Genomic DNA, 16975 nt, shown 5'->3' on the forward strand with positions numbered 1-16975 from the left:
ATTCAACCCCAAATATGTATGAACAGATGGATCATGTCCTTTACAAAGCATTGTAATATATATAGTTATGTTCTTAAAAATCCTTTCCTTCTCTCTGTACATATATATTGATATTTATATGTTTATAAATATATGATAGATGATAAAGCTCTATGGACACATTGATGCATTAGATATTTTTCCTATATACTCATACCAGTTAGAAATATAGATGCATTTAAAACCTGACTCATGTTTCTGAATTGAATGAGAATGGAAATAGTTACTTAGCACCATACATATAAATATCCAAATAATGATTGTTATTGATATCAACATACTTATAACTGTGATGATGACTGTAACACCATTAAAGAGGTATCTAAAAGGCAGAAATTTCTTTTTTTTTTTTTGTAGCCCAGAGATCCTTTATTATTTTTTTTTAACACCTATTATGCCATGAATTCATAGGGAATAGGTTCCAGCAGCTCAGGCTCCTTCCCATTGGTTCTCACAAAGTGTGCTTCTCTGGGTGGAGCAGGCTGGCGCTTTAGTTGAACCCAGGTACCTTTCTCTTTGGCTTCTTTCTTTTTCTGATCATTTTCCTTCATGCGTTTCAGGAAGCTGTCTCGGCTCTTAGAGTGCTTAATGTGCTCAATAAACACATTAATTCTCTTGGCAAGAATCTTGCCCTTAACTTGTGTGTTTACAACAATGCCAACAGCATGCTGGGTAACATTGTAGACTCTTCCAGTTTTGCCATGGTAACACTTGTGGGGCATTCCTTTTTGAACAGTACCCATTCCCTTGATGTCTACAATATCACCTTTCTTATAGATTCGCATATATGTGGCCAAAGGAACAACTCCATGTTTTCTAAAAGGCCTAAAGAACATATATCGGGTGCCCCTCCTCTTTCTCTTTGTGTTCGTCACTTTGGCGAATTACTGGAAGATGGCGGTGCCGGCCAAAAGGCAGAAATTTCTATCTTGCATTTTATATGTGTTAAAATAACTGTGACAGGAGAGCTTTTAAAATAGAAAAATTCCCATTTATTTTAATTTTCACTGTAGATTTGATTCTTAAAAAGTCTTTAGCGGCTGGGCTTGGTGGCTCACGCCTGTAATCCCAGCACTTTGGGGGGCCAAAGTGGGCGGATCATGAGGTCAGGAGATGAAGACCATCCTGGCCAACATGGTGAAACCCCGTTTCTACTAAAAATACAAAAAGATTAGCCAGGTGTAGTGGTGGGTGCCTGTAGTCCCAGCTACTCGGGAGGCTGAGGCAGGAGAATGGCGTGAACCATGGAGGCAGAGCTTGCAGTGAGCCGAGATCACACCACTGCACTCCAGCCTGGGCAACAGAGCGAGACTCCGTCTCAAAAAAAAAAAGTCTTTAGCCAATTATGGCATGATAAAATTGGGGAAAAATAGGCAGTCATAATTGTACATTGTTTATGGTATTTCTCAAACCATTCCATCTCTTGGTGGGCTTTAAATTATTACCAGTTGAAATGAAATGAAACCTTTGACATTAATGGCACATAGGCATGTGGAGAATGAATTAAATATGAATATGTACTTGGGAATTTTGTGTACATTTTTCCCAATTTCAGATTAACAGTACAAAATAGAAGCTGCTGTGTAACTTCTGAGATAACATGGGGTAGAAAAATATTTTCTTCAACTTAGAGGATGGCCCAATTTTCAGGTTAAAGGAACAAAATTTTACTTTTAATTACTGTACTATTATTATACTATTTTATAATCTAGACTTATCAGAGATGAAATAGGTTGATATAGATAGGAAATATGTCCTTGTATTACTTCTTTGCTTTTTTTTTTCTCATTGTATTCTCAGCTTATATCACCATACCTGGCACATTAAACATTAATAAATATTTGTTTAGTGAATGAACAAATGTATGAATTTGAGAATAGGTTCCTATATCTTTGTGAATGTAATGGTTAATGTTATGTGTCAACGTGACTGAGACATGAAGTCCCAGATATTTGGTTAGACATTCTTCTGGGTGTGTCTGGGAGGGTGTCTCTGGGTGAAATTCACATTTGAACGAGTGGATTGAGTGAAGCAGGTTGCTCTCTTCAATGTGGGTGAGGCCCGTTCAATCCTTTGGAGGCCTGAGTAGAACAGAAGGTGGGGAATGGAGAAGTTGCTCTCTCTGCTTGATGGCCTTGAGTGGGGATATCTGTATCCTTCTGCTTTCGGTCCCAGACTGCAACTCAGACCACTGGGCTCTCCCGGTTCTCCTGCCTTTGAATCTAGATTCTTTTCTTTGGTCTTTCCCCATAAGTTTAATTTTTTTCAGCCACATTTTTTTTGGTTATCTTGTACAGATAAAGGACGAAATGTCAGGTATATTCAGAGAAAAATGAAACATAAATATCCTATGTTAAAGTGCATTGTAGAATGTGTGTGTGTGTGCTGGGGGAAAACTTATGAAGAGATAGTTTTGAAAGCACTAAAAATATTGCCGTTAAGGGAAAATGTTGATAAGCGTGGTAGTTTAAAAAAATGAGTGCAAATTTTTTGACACTACTCCCATTAAGAGGCTGGGTCTATATCCTCTCCCCTTAAATCTAGGTGGGCTCATTACTTTCTTCTAGCCAATAGAATACTGCATGACTTTCACGACTCAGTTGGAAAAAGTGACACAGTTTTCACCTTGTTCACTGGGATACCTGCAACAGGACCCTGAGCCGGCCATCTTGTGACGAAGTCCAGACCACGTGGAGATGGCGCATGTAAGTGCTCTGACTGAGGTCCCAACTGACAGCCGGCATCAACCACAAGGCATACAAGTGAAAGTGCTTCCAGAAGATTCCAGTCTGTAGCCATTTCGTCACCCCTAGCTGTAGAGTTTTTCCATTTGAGGTTCCAGGTGTAGCTGAGCAAGCCATTTTCCCTGTACTCTGACCAAAACCCTGACCCACCAAATTTGCAAGCATAAAGAGCTGTCTGTATGAAGTGGCTAACTTTTGGGGGTGATTTGTTCCACAGCAATAGTTAAGTGGAACAATGAGATGTGGAGAGAGGGATACGGGGAGGCAGAGAGCAAGAGCCAGCATGAGGTGTTAGTTACTCTCCCTTTTCCTTTGGTACCAAGTGTTCTGTTGTTGCTGTTTTTGCCCTTTACAAACCCTGGTGCAAGGTAAACAGATTGGGAATAAGGGTTTAGAATTAGCCTCAGCATCAATTTCGTATATATATACCAATATGTATATATATACCAATACATATATATACATATATATATATATGTATATATATATATACATATATATATATATGTATATATATATATACATATATATATATATATGTATATATATATATATATATTTAACACCAGTCACAACAAAACTACCAGGTTAAATATACATATATATTTATATGTATATATCTTTATATTTTATATATGCATATATTTTTATATATAAATATATCTATATTTATATAGAGAAATATCTATATATTTTTATATATAAATATATCTATATTTATATATAGAAATATCTATATATTTTTATATATAAATATATCTATATATAGAAATATCTATATTTATATATAAATATATCTATATATATAGAAATATCTATATTTATATATAAATATATCTATATATATAGAAATATCTATATTTTTATATATAAATGTATCTATATTTATATATAGAAATATCTATATATTTATATGTATATAAATATATATATTAAATATAAAGATATGTATTTAACCTGGTAGTTTTCTTGTGATTGGTGTTAACTAATTGCAGCCAGTCATGGTGGCTCACATCTGTGATCACAGCCACTTGGGAGGCTGAGGCAGGAGGATCGCTTGAAGCCAAGAGTTCAAGACCAGCCTGGGCAACATAGCAAGACCCCGTCTCCAAGAAAAAAAGCAACTGGAGAATCACCTCACATCCACCAATGTTATATTCCTTTATGCAGCTACAATGGAAGGAGAAGGAGATAGGGAGGAATTCTTGTGGTCGGCTGCTCCAAGCAGCCATTTATGGGAGACTGAACATAAATACAATGCCAGCAAATCAGTGGCCACCTCAACAAAAGTACCTTTATAAAAGCTGAAGGTTCAGGGATGGGGATTCTGTTTTTGTAAACGCAGAGATAGAGATCAGTTTCTTAGCTAACAGCTAAGAACTGTTTTCTAGACTGTGGGAATGGGTATCCTCGAGTATCTGGCAGGGGAGGAGAATGGCACAGATGAATTCAAACCAGGAATACCGCGTGCAGGCCAGGTGAGGCCCATGGAACTACAGGAGGCAGGGTGGCTTAGTCCCAACTCAGAGAAGGGCCCAGCCATTGAGAGGCAGGGAATTCTGCTCCAGAGCCTGCCATCTTGAAGAACAATATGGTTCTCACAAGGCATGGAGATGGTTTGCTACACAAATAAAGGGTACAAAGGGATTTGGTGCTTACAATATCCACTGTGAGGTTTTCTCCTAGGACATAATTTATAGATTAATTTTTTTTAAGAAAAATAAAATGATCTCAACTAGGGGAGAAAGTCTTCCAACCCAGTAGACTTCTTAAATACTTCTTCTGAATAGACTGTTTTTCTAATTTCTTCCCTAAGTTTGTGTATGATATATTATTACACTAGCATGTGAAGCCGGCCAAATGAGCCCTAGGAAAGAAATATTGCTCCAAAGTAAATATAGGGACTTGCTTAATACCGCATGATCAGATATCTTGCAAGTAAGACACACAATTAAAATATCATTGTATATGAGATTGAAAGTTGCAGATTGTATGAGATAGTCCCACTATGCTGAAGTGGAAATTTGATATACTTGCTGAGCTTTGAGAAGAATCCTGGGAAAATGGAACTTTGAACCTGTGTGGGGAGGAGAGAAGGATGATGTGAAAATATGGCTGAAAACTAGGGGCCACAGAGGAATGAAGGTAGATCATAAATCTGGAATATAGAGCAAATGTTTGGCAAACCATTCTAGCTGCATAAAGGTATATAACATTTGTGGACATGAGGCTGTTCTCAAATTTTAGCTAGCACCAGTCACAACAAAATTACCAGGTTAAATGCTATTAAAGCAAGCATATATTTAAAAGAATATTTTCATGGAAAAGAAATTCAAAGGCAAACAGTGGTCCACTTATTTTAAGCAAAGCAAGGAAACTCCATTAGAGAATTAAGAATAGGATTAAAAAAACTCATCATAATGTGATTTTATTTTGCAAAGTTCGTTATTTAAGATGTATATCAATAAATAATATAAACACACGCGTGCGTGCACACACACACACACACACAGATGCCTGAATAAGTTTACCTTTTAGTAGCAACAGAAAAGTAAGCAAAGGGCAGGAAAATGAAAACGACAAGCCCAGAGGCAAATAAAACAAACTTTCAGGGAGTGTCTTATTATTGCATAGCTTGAAAAAAAGTCATTGCCTGGGATTAAAAAACAAACAAACTTTTTTTAACGTAAACACTTGTTACCTTGTGATATTATTTTACTTTAATGAGGCAGTGAAGACAACTTTGGATATATATTTAGATGAAAAGTCACAAAGAAGCTTAGGTGTCCCAGTAAATGAAGATTATTAGGCACAAAAGGAGATGCAGAGATTTCCCTAGAAAACACAGTCTGATCTTTTTAATTTCTGTTTTCTTTTTCTGCTGGGGAAAGTTTAATGTAAATCCTTCCCTTTATGGGAAGTGATCGACTTTGTTCTTTGTTTAATGTAGACGGGGTCCTGGTCCCTGACATTGTGCATTTTTACATATTTAAAGGAGTTTTAAGGGACACTAAGACTTTTCTTTCACTAAGGTCTTACAAACGACCGACACTACTCCAGCAAAATTGCACACTTTGGTCTTCAAGGATCAAAGACTGAAATGGAGCTAATTTCCTACAACAATTCTACAGCCTGGTGAGTTCGCTAAGTAGGAGAAGGCTGCCCATTGCCATTTATTGAACTAATTAAAAATAAAAACTTAGCTTTCAATAAAAGGTATATTTTAGAGCATGATACTAATTAGGATTTTTTTTTTGTCTTTAAACAAAATGTAACCTTATCCTCCTCTTTTGAAGGTTAGCAATGCTCACAGATTTTGTTAATTGGTTTATTAACTTCTTCTATCCTGGAATCATTCACGTTCAGCCTTTCTTACATTCATATCCTTGTGTAACTGTGGATTTTAGATTGAATTTTTTGTTTGTTTGTTTGACCAACAAAATGAGTAGAACCCGGGTTGGAAGAAAGCTTACAAGAAGTATATTCTAAGTTAATACATTAAGATGTTCAGTCTGGAGACTGGGAGGTAGTTGAGTTTAGACCATGCACAGCCAGTAAGGTCATGACAAGGCAGACCCTTACAGCTTAGCTTCACAATCTGGAAATCCAACATGCATCTGTTTCAGTAATAATCATGTTCTGGGGAAGGAAGGCACAAACCCAGGACTCGGTTTTCCATAATGCACAATGACAATTACTAGAATGACTTTGATCTGGAGAGTGTTTCTAGTGTCCTGTGATCGAAGGTTTCTGTCCTACAACCACTGTGTTCTGAGGCCTAACAGGCCTTATATTCACCTTTTACGAGGGTTTTTTCAAAGGTGTTTGAGTTAGGAGATGCCACAACCAACCAGATGGGTCAGAACTTTTGCCTATATTCTGTCTTTTGACACGTCGTTGTTTGAATGACTTTACCAGCCTTGGTGAAGTATATGGGCCTTGTATAATAAAACCACAGGCCTTTGGGTAACAAGCCTTCTCTAATTTTGACTCACTCAAGGTTCCTAAGTGAAACACTTTTTCATTAGCATCTTCAGTCCTAGCCAAGTAGCCCTGGACTCAGAAGTAAGGTTTTCCTAAACGTTTATCGGGGAGAGAAAAAATCCTGGGACAGATTTTATCTGGCTCCCTGAGCACTTTTGAAGTCTTGGATAGAACTGGACATTTTTTAGACTTTCCTTTGTGTGTCGGAGAAGGTTTCAGCAAGGCAGGCCGCTAGATAAAAGAGAAACCCCAGCCTATTTGGAGATGAAAGTCTTCAAACCAGGGCATGCCAAATTCATTGGAGAATATAGCCTCAAAGGAAATGTTTGCTTTCTTTTGAAAATTCATTATTATAAAGCCCATTGTGTCATTAGGCCAGTTGTGTGATTATTGAGAAATAACTAGAGATAATAAACGAATGCCTCATCAAAGGCATGTTAATGCTGGGTGATCTTATTGAACTTGTGAGTTGTAGATGCCCTTAAATGCCTTCTCTATGAAAGGACACAGTCCATACCCATCAGCATTTTTAATTAGGAAAACTCCCAGAAAATTATGGTATGGACAAAAGTTGAGGCTTTAAAAAAAAATTCTTGGAAACACGGAAAATATTTCACATCTGAACTTCAGAAGAAAGATCTATTTTCATATTCTGGTTTTGGCTCACCAGACTGGTCCTGCGCTTTGATAAATGGCAAAGTTACCTCGTTAATGAGCACTGAACAGATCCGGCCACTGTCCCTGCTTGGGCTCTGTGCTGGGCAGGAAGCGGTTTTCTCCCCCGAGGCCAGATCTCATTTTCATGACTGAATCTTGTGAGATCTTGAAGCACTAAATCAATAACTCTTATTCAGTCAGCCCTGAAAGGAAGGCAGTTATCAAAAGGAACGCAGGCAAAGCAGGTGATAGCAGATGAAACTCGGCGATTATTTTCAAAAGAACCAGCAGGCTCTGAAGTCTGCGGATGCTTCTCTGGCACACCCCAAATCTTCCCCTCACATCCAGTTTGGTGCCAAGCTGTGCCTGTCGTCAGTATAGCGTGTACAATTTAGTTGCTTGAAGCAGAAAAAATGTGAAAGTGGCCAATCTTATGTCTTACTTACCTAGTCAAAATGCATATGGAAATGCAAAGTGCTTATGTCTATATTAAAAAGAAAAAACGCATCCAGCACAGAAAGACATGAATATCACACTCCACTGAGCAAGTATAACCTCTGTGATGAGGCCCGTTGTACTTCAGGAATTGCCTCCCCGCCCGCCCCCACTCCATGTAAAACAAGAAAGTCAAACATAAGCACAGAATTTTCCAAATATGGAAAGGATCTTTTGATGATCAAATATACAAAGGAAAGCATGTCCCTGAGTCATAATAAGAATAAAATAAAGGACTGAAAACAGAAAGACCATTTCCTCCAAGAAACCATCCTGGATTTGTAAGAATATTCCCTGCCTCTCACCTCATGCCTTCTTCTTCTTCTTTTTTTTCTTTTTCTTGAGATGGAGTCTCACTTTGTCACCCAGGCTGGAGTGCAGTGGCGATCAATCTTGGCTCACTGTAGCCTCCACCTCCCAGGCTCAAGCAATCATCCCACCTCAGCCTCCTGAGTAGCTGGGACCACAGGCGCGCACCACCACACCTGGCTAATGTTTTGCACTTTTGGTAGAGACAGTATTTCCTCATGTTGCCCAGACTGGTCTGGAACTCCTGGCCTATAGTGATCTGCCTTCCTTGGCTTCCCAAAGTGCTGGGATTACAGGCATGAGTCACCATGTCCGGCCACACTTCTTGTCTTCTGTTTAATGCTGAATGTTATAGCAAAGGCTAAGAAAATGTATTTCATGGCCCTTGGTTCAAAATTTCAGGAAGCTCAGATCCTAAGATAGCAGAGAGGAAGGAGACCTGAAACATTTTCAAAAGTCAAATAACTATCATACTCAGTCTATTCAAATGAGTAATCAAATTTCCCTATCAAAACAAGGCTAAGGGTTTTTTTCCTCCCTGTACGGAAATAGGTTTTCAAAGGTAACAGAAAAGTTTGCAGAGTTATGTTTAAGTGTTTGTGTCTGCAATCACAGTTTTTCTTTTTTGTTTTTGGAGACAGGGTCTCACTCTGTTGACCAGGGTGAGGAGTGTAGTGGCATGATCATAGTTCACTGCAACCTCTGCCTCCCTCCCAGACTCAAGCAATCCTCTGGCCTCAGCCTCACCAAGTAGCTAGGACTACAGGTATGTACCAACATGACCAGCTAATTTTTTTAAAATTTTCTTTGTAGAGACAGGGTTTTGCCATGTTGCCCGGGCTGATCTCGAACTCCTGGGCTCAAGTGATCTGCCTGCCTCAGTCTCCCAAAGTGCTGGGATTATGGGCGTGAGCCACTGTGCCCAGCCTGCAACCACATTTTCAATGTCTTTGTTTTTTAAAAGGCATTCCACGATGAATCGTTCATCACGGAATACAGAGAATTATTTTCTAATGTACAAAACTACCTTGAAAATATGTGAGAGTTGGGGTTTTTATGTTCAAAGAAGTATCTTTCATATTAAAGCTTTAAACAGGCGATTGTCTCTCTGATATGTGGTAATTAATTTCTGTTAATTTCTTACATTTAGTTCTGTTTAATGTTGGTTTCAGTTTTAATTGTGTTTAAGGCATATCTGCACTGTGGAGGTGAGACAGTGGGCTCAGGGCCTGGAAGACACTTAGAAAGCATAAGAACCATAACCTTCAGCTTCTCACGCTCCCTTCCTGTATGGCTGATATAGTTTGGCCCCGTGTCCCCACCCAAATCTCATCTAGAATTGTAATTCCCATAATCCCCATGTGTGGAGGGCGGGGTCTGGTAGGAGGTGATTGGATCATGGGGGTGGTTTTCCCCATGCTGTTCTTATGACAGGAGTGACTCTTCACGAGATCTGATGGTTTTATAAGCATATGGCATCTCCTCAGCTTGGACTTCTCTCTCCTGCTGCCATGTGAAGAAGGTCCTTGCTTTCCCTTCACCTTCCACCATGATTGTAAGTTTCCTGAGGCCTCCCCAGCCTTTTGGAACTGTGAGTCAATCAAACCTCTTTCCTTTATAAATTACACAGTCTCAGGTACTTCTTTATAGCAGTGCGAGAATGGACTAATACGATGGCTTTCTTATTGAATTGAAGCTCAAAACTAATATTTCAGGAGCCACATTTTGATCTATAAACCTGTATTATTCTTATTTCTAAAAAATTTTTTAGACAGACTTTCATTCTGTCACCCAGTGGGGCAATCATATTGGGGTATCATAGCTCATTGCAGCCTCAACCTCCTGGGCTCAACTGTTCCTCCAGCCTTAGCCTCTAGAGTAGATAAGACTACAAGTGTGTGCCACCATGCCCAGCTAAGTTTAAAACGTTTTGCAGAGACGAGGTCTTGATATGTTGCCCAGGCTGGTCTGGAACACCTTGACACAAGTGATCCTCTCAGTTCAGCCTCCTAAAGTGCCAGGATTACAGGTGTGAGCTGCCGTGCACTGGCCAAACTCTGTATTTTTGAAGAAAAGAGATACACGATTCAGTCATTAGAACAAATGTATCCAAATGTACAAGTGAATTAATTTTGCCTAGACTGATAACTATAGTCCTATGTACTTTTATGGGATTTAGGAATCAGGATAATTAGTTCAATAACCAACAAAACTCAAGTCGCTGGAAACCAGAAGACACTCATGCATATTTCTCTATTATACAATTAAAATTTGCAACTTGGTGAAGGGTCCATTGGAAATACATCCTTTTAAAACCAGTGGCATGTCTGTCATTCCCAGAATGCAGTAGGACCAGGTGACTGGGCCCTCTCTGCTTTGGGGAATCTGGATGTGATGCCAGCACCAGGGATCCAGGTCATCGGGGCACATACCCTTAGCTTCTGAGGAGTCTGAGCCCTGGAAGCTATAGGTCTGGGACCTAAACCAGATTCCTGACTCTCTGGAGAGTGCCCCCAAATCAATTAGAGTTGATATGTGGATGCCATTTTTCTTTGTCCCCTGCAGATTCATGACTTCAATTGAGAGATGAGTTTCAAGCCACCTTTCAAGGAATCCTGGGTAGAATGAAATCTGTTCCATGGAATCTTAAGAAGAAGAAGAAAAAAAATCAAGATCCCTGTGGTAGGTATCAGTCATTGGTTTCTAGTTACTCAACCCTTTTACAAGTCTTAAGGACCCTATAAACTTTGAAAGTTGTAGTAAAATATTTATAGAGCAAGTCAAAGAAAAGTATAAAACAGTGGGTCTAGGTGAAATTTAGACGTGGCTAAAGTTCCTTTTCACCTCTTTTGCTGTTTGATTCATAAGGGTATAGGTACCTGGCCTAGTGAAATAGCAACTCATTTCACCCTGTAGACCGGACATAGTACAATTTCCACAGTTGCAAAGCCATTTCATTCCTTTTCCTCCTGGTGTTTACTTTAGAAGTTCAAGAGACGATTTTGATGAGAAATGACAGTCCGGTGCCTCATGAGAAACTCAGGCCGGTGCCACAGGTGAAAACTCTGAGGTCATTACCCCTTCTGAATTTTCCTGGGAAAGGGCCTTGGAGCCACTCTCCACTGTGACTGAGAAACTCAAGAGGAGCCATTGGTGTTTCAGGCTTTTAGGGGAGATATAAATGGAGGCCTGACTAGTAAAACCTGCCACCCAAAGCCCCAAGGCACTCTTTACTCAGGCAGTCATAGAGCTGGGATGGAACGCCATCTGGAGGAACCCCACTTTGCCTGTGTGCCTCCACGTCCCCAGCCCATCCTTGGGGTTCTTCCCTTCCTCACCAGGATGCAGGGCTGTAATAGCAGGGTGCTGTTCAGCAGCTGCTGCAATATCACTACACGGTAAGGGCTGGCCTTAAGCAACATGCTCTGGGGTTCATAAACATACATGGGGCAGGAAAACGTGATCGCATATAAATGTGTGCAATGTTATTCCGGGAAAAACATGTGAATGTTTTGGAAGTCATAAGGGATTTCCTAAATAACGATGGTGTATGGAATCCAAGAGGTTTTTGCTCAAAGAAAGCCCAAGATCATAACTGAAAGTGTGTTAGGAAGCAAAAAAAGGTCAAAAACCACGGGCAAAATTAATGTCTTGTTGGGTCCTGCTACAATAACTCTGGGGGTGAAATGAAGTTCATGCTCCTTTATTCTGAAGCATGATTATAAAGCAATGGAGTAACGGCTTCAACAAATATATCTGAATGAATATATCTAAATAAATGCTGTGGCCTTCAAGATGGCCATGGCGAAAACTCTAATTATTATGACATATGTTTCTTAAGCCTTTTCTGAGACCCTTCCCAACCCTTCTTCTCCTCCTGTGCACCGCTCTTCTGAGATGCTTGAGGTTTCATACATACTACTATTGTAAATATTTCCATTTAACATTGAAATTAGTTGTTTTCGGGGTTTGTGCCCCATCAAGGATTGGTACAGAGTAAAAATGTATTGCGTTAAAAAATTTTTAAAGTGTGTTTAGTGAATGGCCTTCACAGATAATTTATGACTCGCACAGGAAAACTTGCCTAATGTTTTAGGGCCACATTTTGTATACCAAAGCAGTGTCACCCAATTTGGTCACCTACATTCACCAGCTCCATTTTAAAATAATTTTTGGTTTATTTTAAGAATCAAATACACCTTCTTCTTGGTATAAAGGTTTATAACCATTGAGACTATTCTAAAGGAATGTGCTCTTGGCTCTGGAGGCAATTCCAAAGGAGGAATTTCCAAAATATTTTGAGCTATGACTGCATCATTGTGTAGTGATGCCCAGTGGAAAAATATTTTTTAAAGCAGTAGAACTGTTCCTTAAAAGTTACTCATAGTTACGAGAGGCTGAGCAACCAATTCACGATTGTGACTTCCTTTGTTTTGGGAAAAGTTAGCAGAATAAACACTTCAGTTTGTCCAAGAACAATAATTTGTGTAATGAGCGTCATCCTCAATGTTACTTTAAATGTAGGCTGAGAAGTAATGTGTTCTGTTTAACATAAATAGAGTCCATTTTTAGTGGGACATTGTCCTTGCTGCATCTTTGAATATGGATTTAGATTTTAGTGACTGTCTCTGAAACTGTCTTGGGAAGGTGTGTGTGTGTGTGTGTGTGTGCATGCACATGTGTGTACATATCTGTTTGTATGTATAAATGCATGTATATTTTGTCTATTTGTCTGATTATATTTGTTTTAGGACAGTGCAAACCCTGAGCTAACCCAGAAAGTATCTCGACCCTCTCTTTACTCCACACTGGATGAAAGACTGGGAAAGGAAATTGAATCAGGTTTGCCCGGGCACAGTGGCTCATGCCTGTAATCCCAGCACTTTAGGAGGCCGCGAAAGGCGGATCACTTGAGGTCAGAAGTTCAAGTCCAGACAGGCCAATATGGCAAAACCCCGTCTCTACTAAAAATACAAAAACAATCAGCTGGGCATTGTGGTGGGGGCCTGTAGTCCCAGCTACTTGGGAGACTGAGGCAGGAGAATCGCTTGAACCCAGGAGGCGGAGGTTGCAGTGAGCTGAGATCATGCCATTGCACTCCAGCCTGGGCAACAAGAGTGAAACTCTGTCTCAAAAAATAAAATAAAATAAAATAAAATAAAATAAAATAAAATAAAATAAAATAAAATAAAAAGAAATGGAATCAGGTTTGACCCTGGCTATCTGGGCGACAGCACCAGGCGTGGTGTTATGAAGACCAGCAGATGGAAATGAATCACTGGTGATTGGGGCTGGTGTTTGGGGCCAAGGAGGCTGCATTGCAGCTGGTGGGTGGTTGAAGGGTCCCCCTTTTAGGAAGGAGAAGCTCCCAGTCATCTTGGGATGGGAATGAGCAAGGCTGCCACTTAGTTCTGGGACTGAGAGGCTCCAGCTGGATTCGGAGGTGGGAAAGAGACCTGGAGCCTGGTGGAGAGGAGGCTGACTTGGCTTAGCCAGGCAAAAGGTAGCCAGGAGCTAGGCCAAAGGCCCAAGGCTGGCGTTCAGAGCCGGGACCCTCTAGAGGAACCCCTTTTGATAAGCATGGGAATGTTTCTCGGAGTTGTAATTGTGTCAGCCCCATGCCTTCAGTACAGTTTTATTAAACAGTTGGGCTGCTCCTCTCTGTGCATTGTGGAAGTACAGGCAGAGCTTGTGTCTGCACTTGGAGTGTCTTGCATGGGGATGGCCGAGCAGCCTGAGGAAGCCAGTGTTGAGCCTGTTCAAGGGAATTTCCTTGCAGGGCTTTGCAGCACCGGCCTTGGAGTCAGGGTGGCTGGAGGGATGAGTGACTACTGGGATGGGTGGGCGGCACATCCAGCATCTCTCCAGAATTCTCCAACATGTTCATGAAGGAGAAGCAGGGAGAAGAATAACTTTCTTGAGTTATGGAATTGGGCCTCAAAGTCATGATTATTTGGATAATAAGAAAACACAGGCTGGGTACAGTAGCTCACAGCTGTAATCCCAGCACTTTGGGAGGCTGAGGCAGGAGGATTGCTTGAGCCCAGGAGTTTGAGACCAGCCTGGGCCACATGGTAAGACTCAGTTTTTACATAAAAAATTGTTTTTAAAATGAACCAGGAGTGGTGGCTCGCATGTAGTCACAGCTACACGTGAGGCTGAAAAAAGGAGGATTGCTTGAGCCCAGGAGTTCAAGGCTGCAGTGCAGTGAGCTATGATTATACCACTGCACACCAGCCGGGCAATAGAGCAAGACCCTGTCTCAAAAAAACAAAACAACTCCTCTCCCCACCTCGAAGCCCCACGATCTTTTTGGTAATTACAGGTGAGTGAGGTCTGGGGACTTACTAGTTCTAACTGGGATAAGTGCAAAGCATTACTATGTCTATAAGATACCTTCCATTTTTTAAAAAGCAAACTTAAAAGTTGAAACAATTCCATATTTTACATGTCTTTAGAGGTTCTCATTATGTACGTAGGTGAAATAATCACAATGTAACTGAAATGTTTAGTTTTCAGCCAGTGGTTTGATTTTCTCTGCTATAATCCCTCTTACTCTGACCTTGATATTCCTCACTCCCCAACAGCTAATCCATTGGTGAGTTAAAGATTTCTCAAATCTGCCAGTATGGTGGCTTACACCTGTAATCCCAGCACTTTGGGAGGCCGAGGTGGGAGGATTGCTTGAGCCCAGGAGTGCGAGACTGACCCAGGCAACAGAGTGAGACCCTTTCTCTACAAAAAGTAGAAAAATTAGCCAGGCGTGGTAATGCACGCCTGTGGTTCCAGCTACTTGGGAAGCTGAGATGGGATCACTTGAGCCCAGGAGGTCAGGGCTGTAGTGAGCTATGATTACACCACAACACTCCAGCCTGAGTGACATTGCAAGACCCTGTCTTCGATAAATAAATACATACATAAATAAATAAAAATAATGCAAACACATTTTTAATTTACAAGACACTCTTTGAGAAAACTATATTCTGGGAAGGGATTATGAAGCTGGATCTGGAATCGTGCCTGGTTCCCGTCCTCTGGCTCATTCATGAAGTGTTGGATGAAGCACTTTGCTGAGCCTAAAGAGTCCTGCTGTGTGGGATGAGGTGGGTGGAGGGACTTGTTAATGCTCATGTCCCATCCAGGGCCCCCTTATGCTCTTCTGATCCAATTCCCAGGAACATCAACTCCATAAAAACATTCCTCTCCCTCGAGCCGCCCATTAACCTTTCTGAGTTGGCTAATGATTAATGTCATTAGCTTCGGAATGCGATGGCAACTCCCCAAGAGGGTATGGCACCCACAGTGTTGTGGGTTGTAAGAACTGTGCAAACCAAGCGAGCTGTCCTCAGTCTGGGTGTGGAGATAATGGTTTTACCCCCTCCAACAGTGACTTTTATTGCAGTCATAATTACTCATCTGTTCAGTTAGCACCTGCCCTACCAGTGGGGAGAGAGAACCCAAATAATAATGTCAAGTTTACCCAACCTAACCAATGCAGACATCACCAATGATGTGATGACCTTGTGTTTGGAAAGCGAAGGTCTCCTTGGGCAGGGGAGCAGCCCAACCACATTTTCTCAGGAACTGCTCTGATTTCCTTTATCCTTGGCCTGGCTCTAGCAGGTTAAACCTTTATGAGATTGTCATTCCCATAGGTCAAAAATGACCAAATATAAGGAATTTCATAGGGTTCAACCCAATATAGTTTGTTCTTGATTTTTCTAGAGTAGTGATAAAAGACACGGGTAGAAAGTAATAAGCAAAGAGAATAACTTGTCAAGTAAGAAAACTCTAACAAAGTTAGGGGTAGTATATTTTAAAAGCTTACTTGCCCTGGAGAAGACTATGCGTATTATACACTCTTGCATTAATATTATATGCATGTGGATTTTGAAATATTTCAACTCCTTGGGTGAGACATTTAAGGTAATGAGTTCCTGAAGTTTCATGTCACTACAGTGCCTGAAAATCGTTTTCATGGAATTTTCATTAATTTCTAATAGATGAGAAGGTTGTATTTACAAAATGAGTGATTGTTGCCTTAGAGATCAGGCAGGACATTGCCAGTAATGAGGGCAGACTGCAGTCAGGAAGTCTTGTTTGAATTAATAGTAAGTGAACTTCAAGACAGCAGAAGTCACTGCTTGTCCCAGATGTCTAATGATGAGTAAGTGAAACAGGAAAGCAAGGAGAACTAGCGCTGCTTGCCTACTGTGTGGCAGCTCTTCACATCCTCTTTCCTTTCATCTGCATACAACTCCACAGGGACAGGGATTATTGTCACCATTTCACAGATGCTCCGAGCAGTATTAAATCAACTGTCAAAGTCCATATCACTAGACATTGGCAGAGCCAGCATTTATGGCCAGCTCAGTTGTATTCAAAGCCTCATCATTTGCTTATGCCAAGAAAGACTGGATGACTTGGTACCAAAGGTGGTCCATGTTTATGGCTTTGGGCCTGGCATCTTCAGAAGTGTCTTAGTTTGGGATTGTGCATGCTGGTGCCATTTTCCTGATTCACAGGTCTCCTCAGCAAGCACTGGAGAAGGCATCCTCAAGTATAAAGCATTGGGACTTTGGGTTGCATTAAAATTTGCCTCCAGTTACTCCCAGCAGAGCTTGGAACGCAGTAGTCAATAAAGCAAATATATATATATTTTTTGAATTTTATTATAAGAGATACATAGTGTATATATATATATTTTAATTTTACTATAAGAGATAAGGTCTTTGTCTGTCACCCAC

At 40.5% G+C, this 16975-nt stretch overlaps 1 pseudogene, besides 1 other annotated feature; it reads right to left on the bottom strand.

The window, feature by feature from the left end:
• Positions 380-954, bottom strand: RPL21P93 (ribosomal protein L21 pseudogene 93; annotated as a pseudogene).
• Positions 6959-8158: an enhancer, noted in NCBI's record as "BRD4-independent group 4 enhancer chr10:29194458-29195657 (GRCh37/hg19 assembly coordinates)". NCBI's record gives its function as "activates an origin of replication core promoter dependent on BRD2, P300/CBP, MED14 and CDK7 cofactors, and independent of BRD4, by STARR-seq in HCT116 cells {active_cell/tissue: HCT116}" and the evidence as "EXISTENCE:reporter gene assay evidence [ECO:0000049][PMID:35650434]".

This window comes from Homo sapiens, chromosome 10 (genome assembly GCF_000001405.40).
Source record: "Homo sapiens chromosome 10, GRCh38.p14 Primary Assembly".
Lineage (NCBI taxonomy): Eukaryota > Metazoa > Chordata > Mammalia > Primates > Hominidae > Homo > Homo sapiens.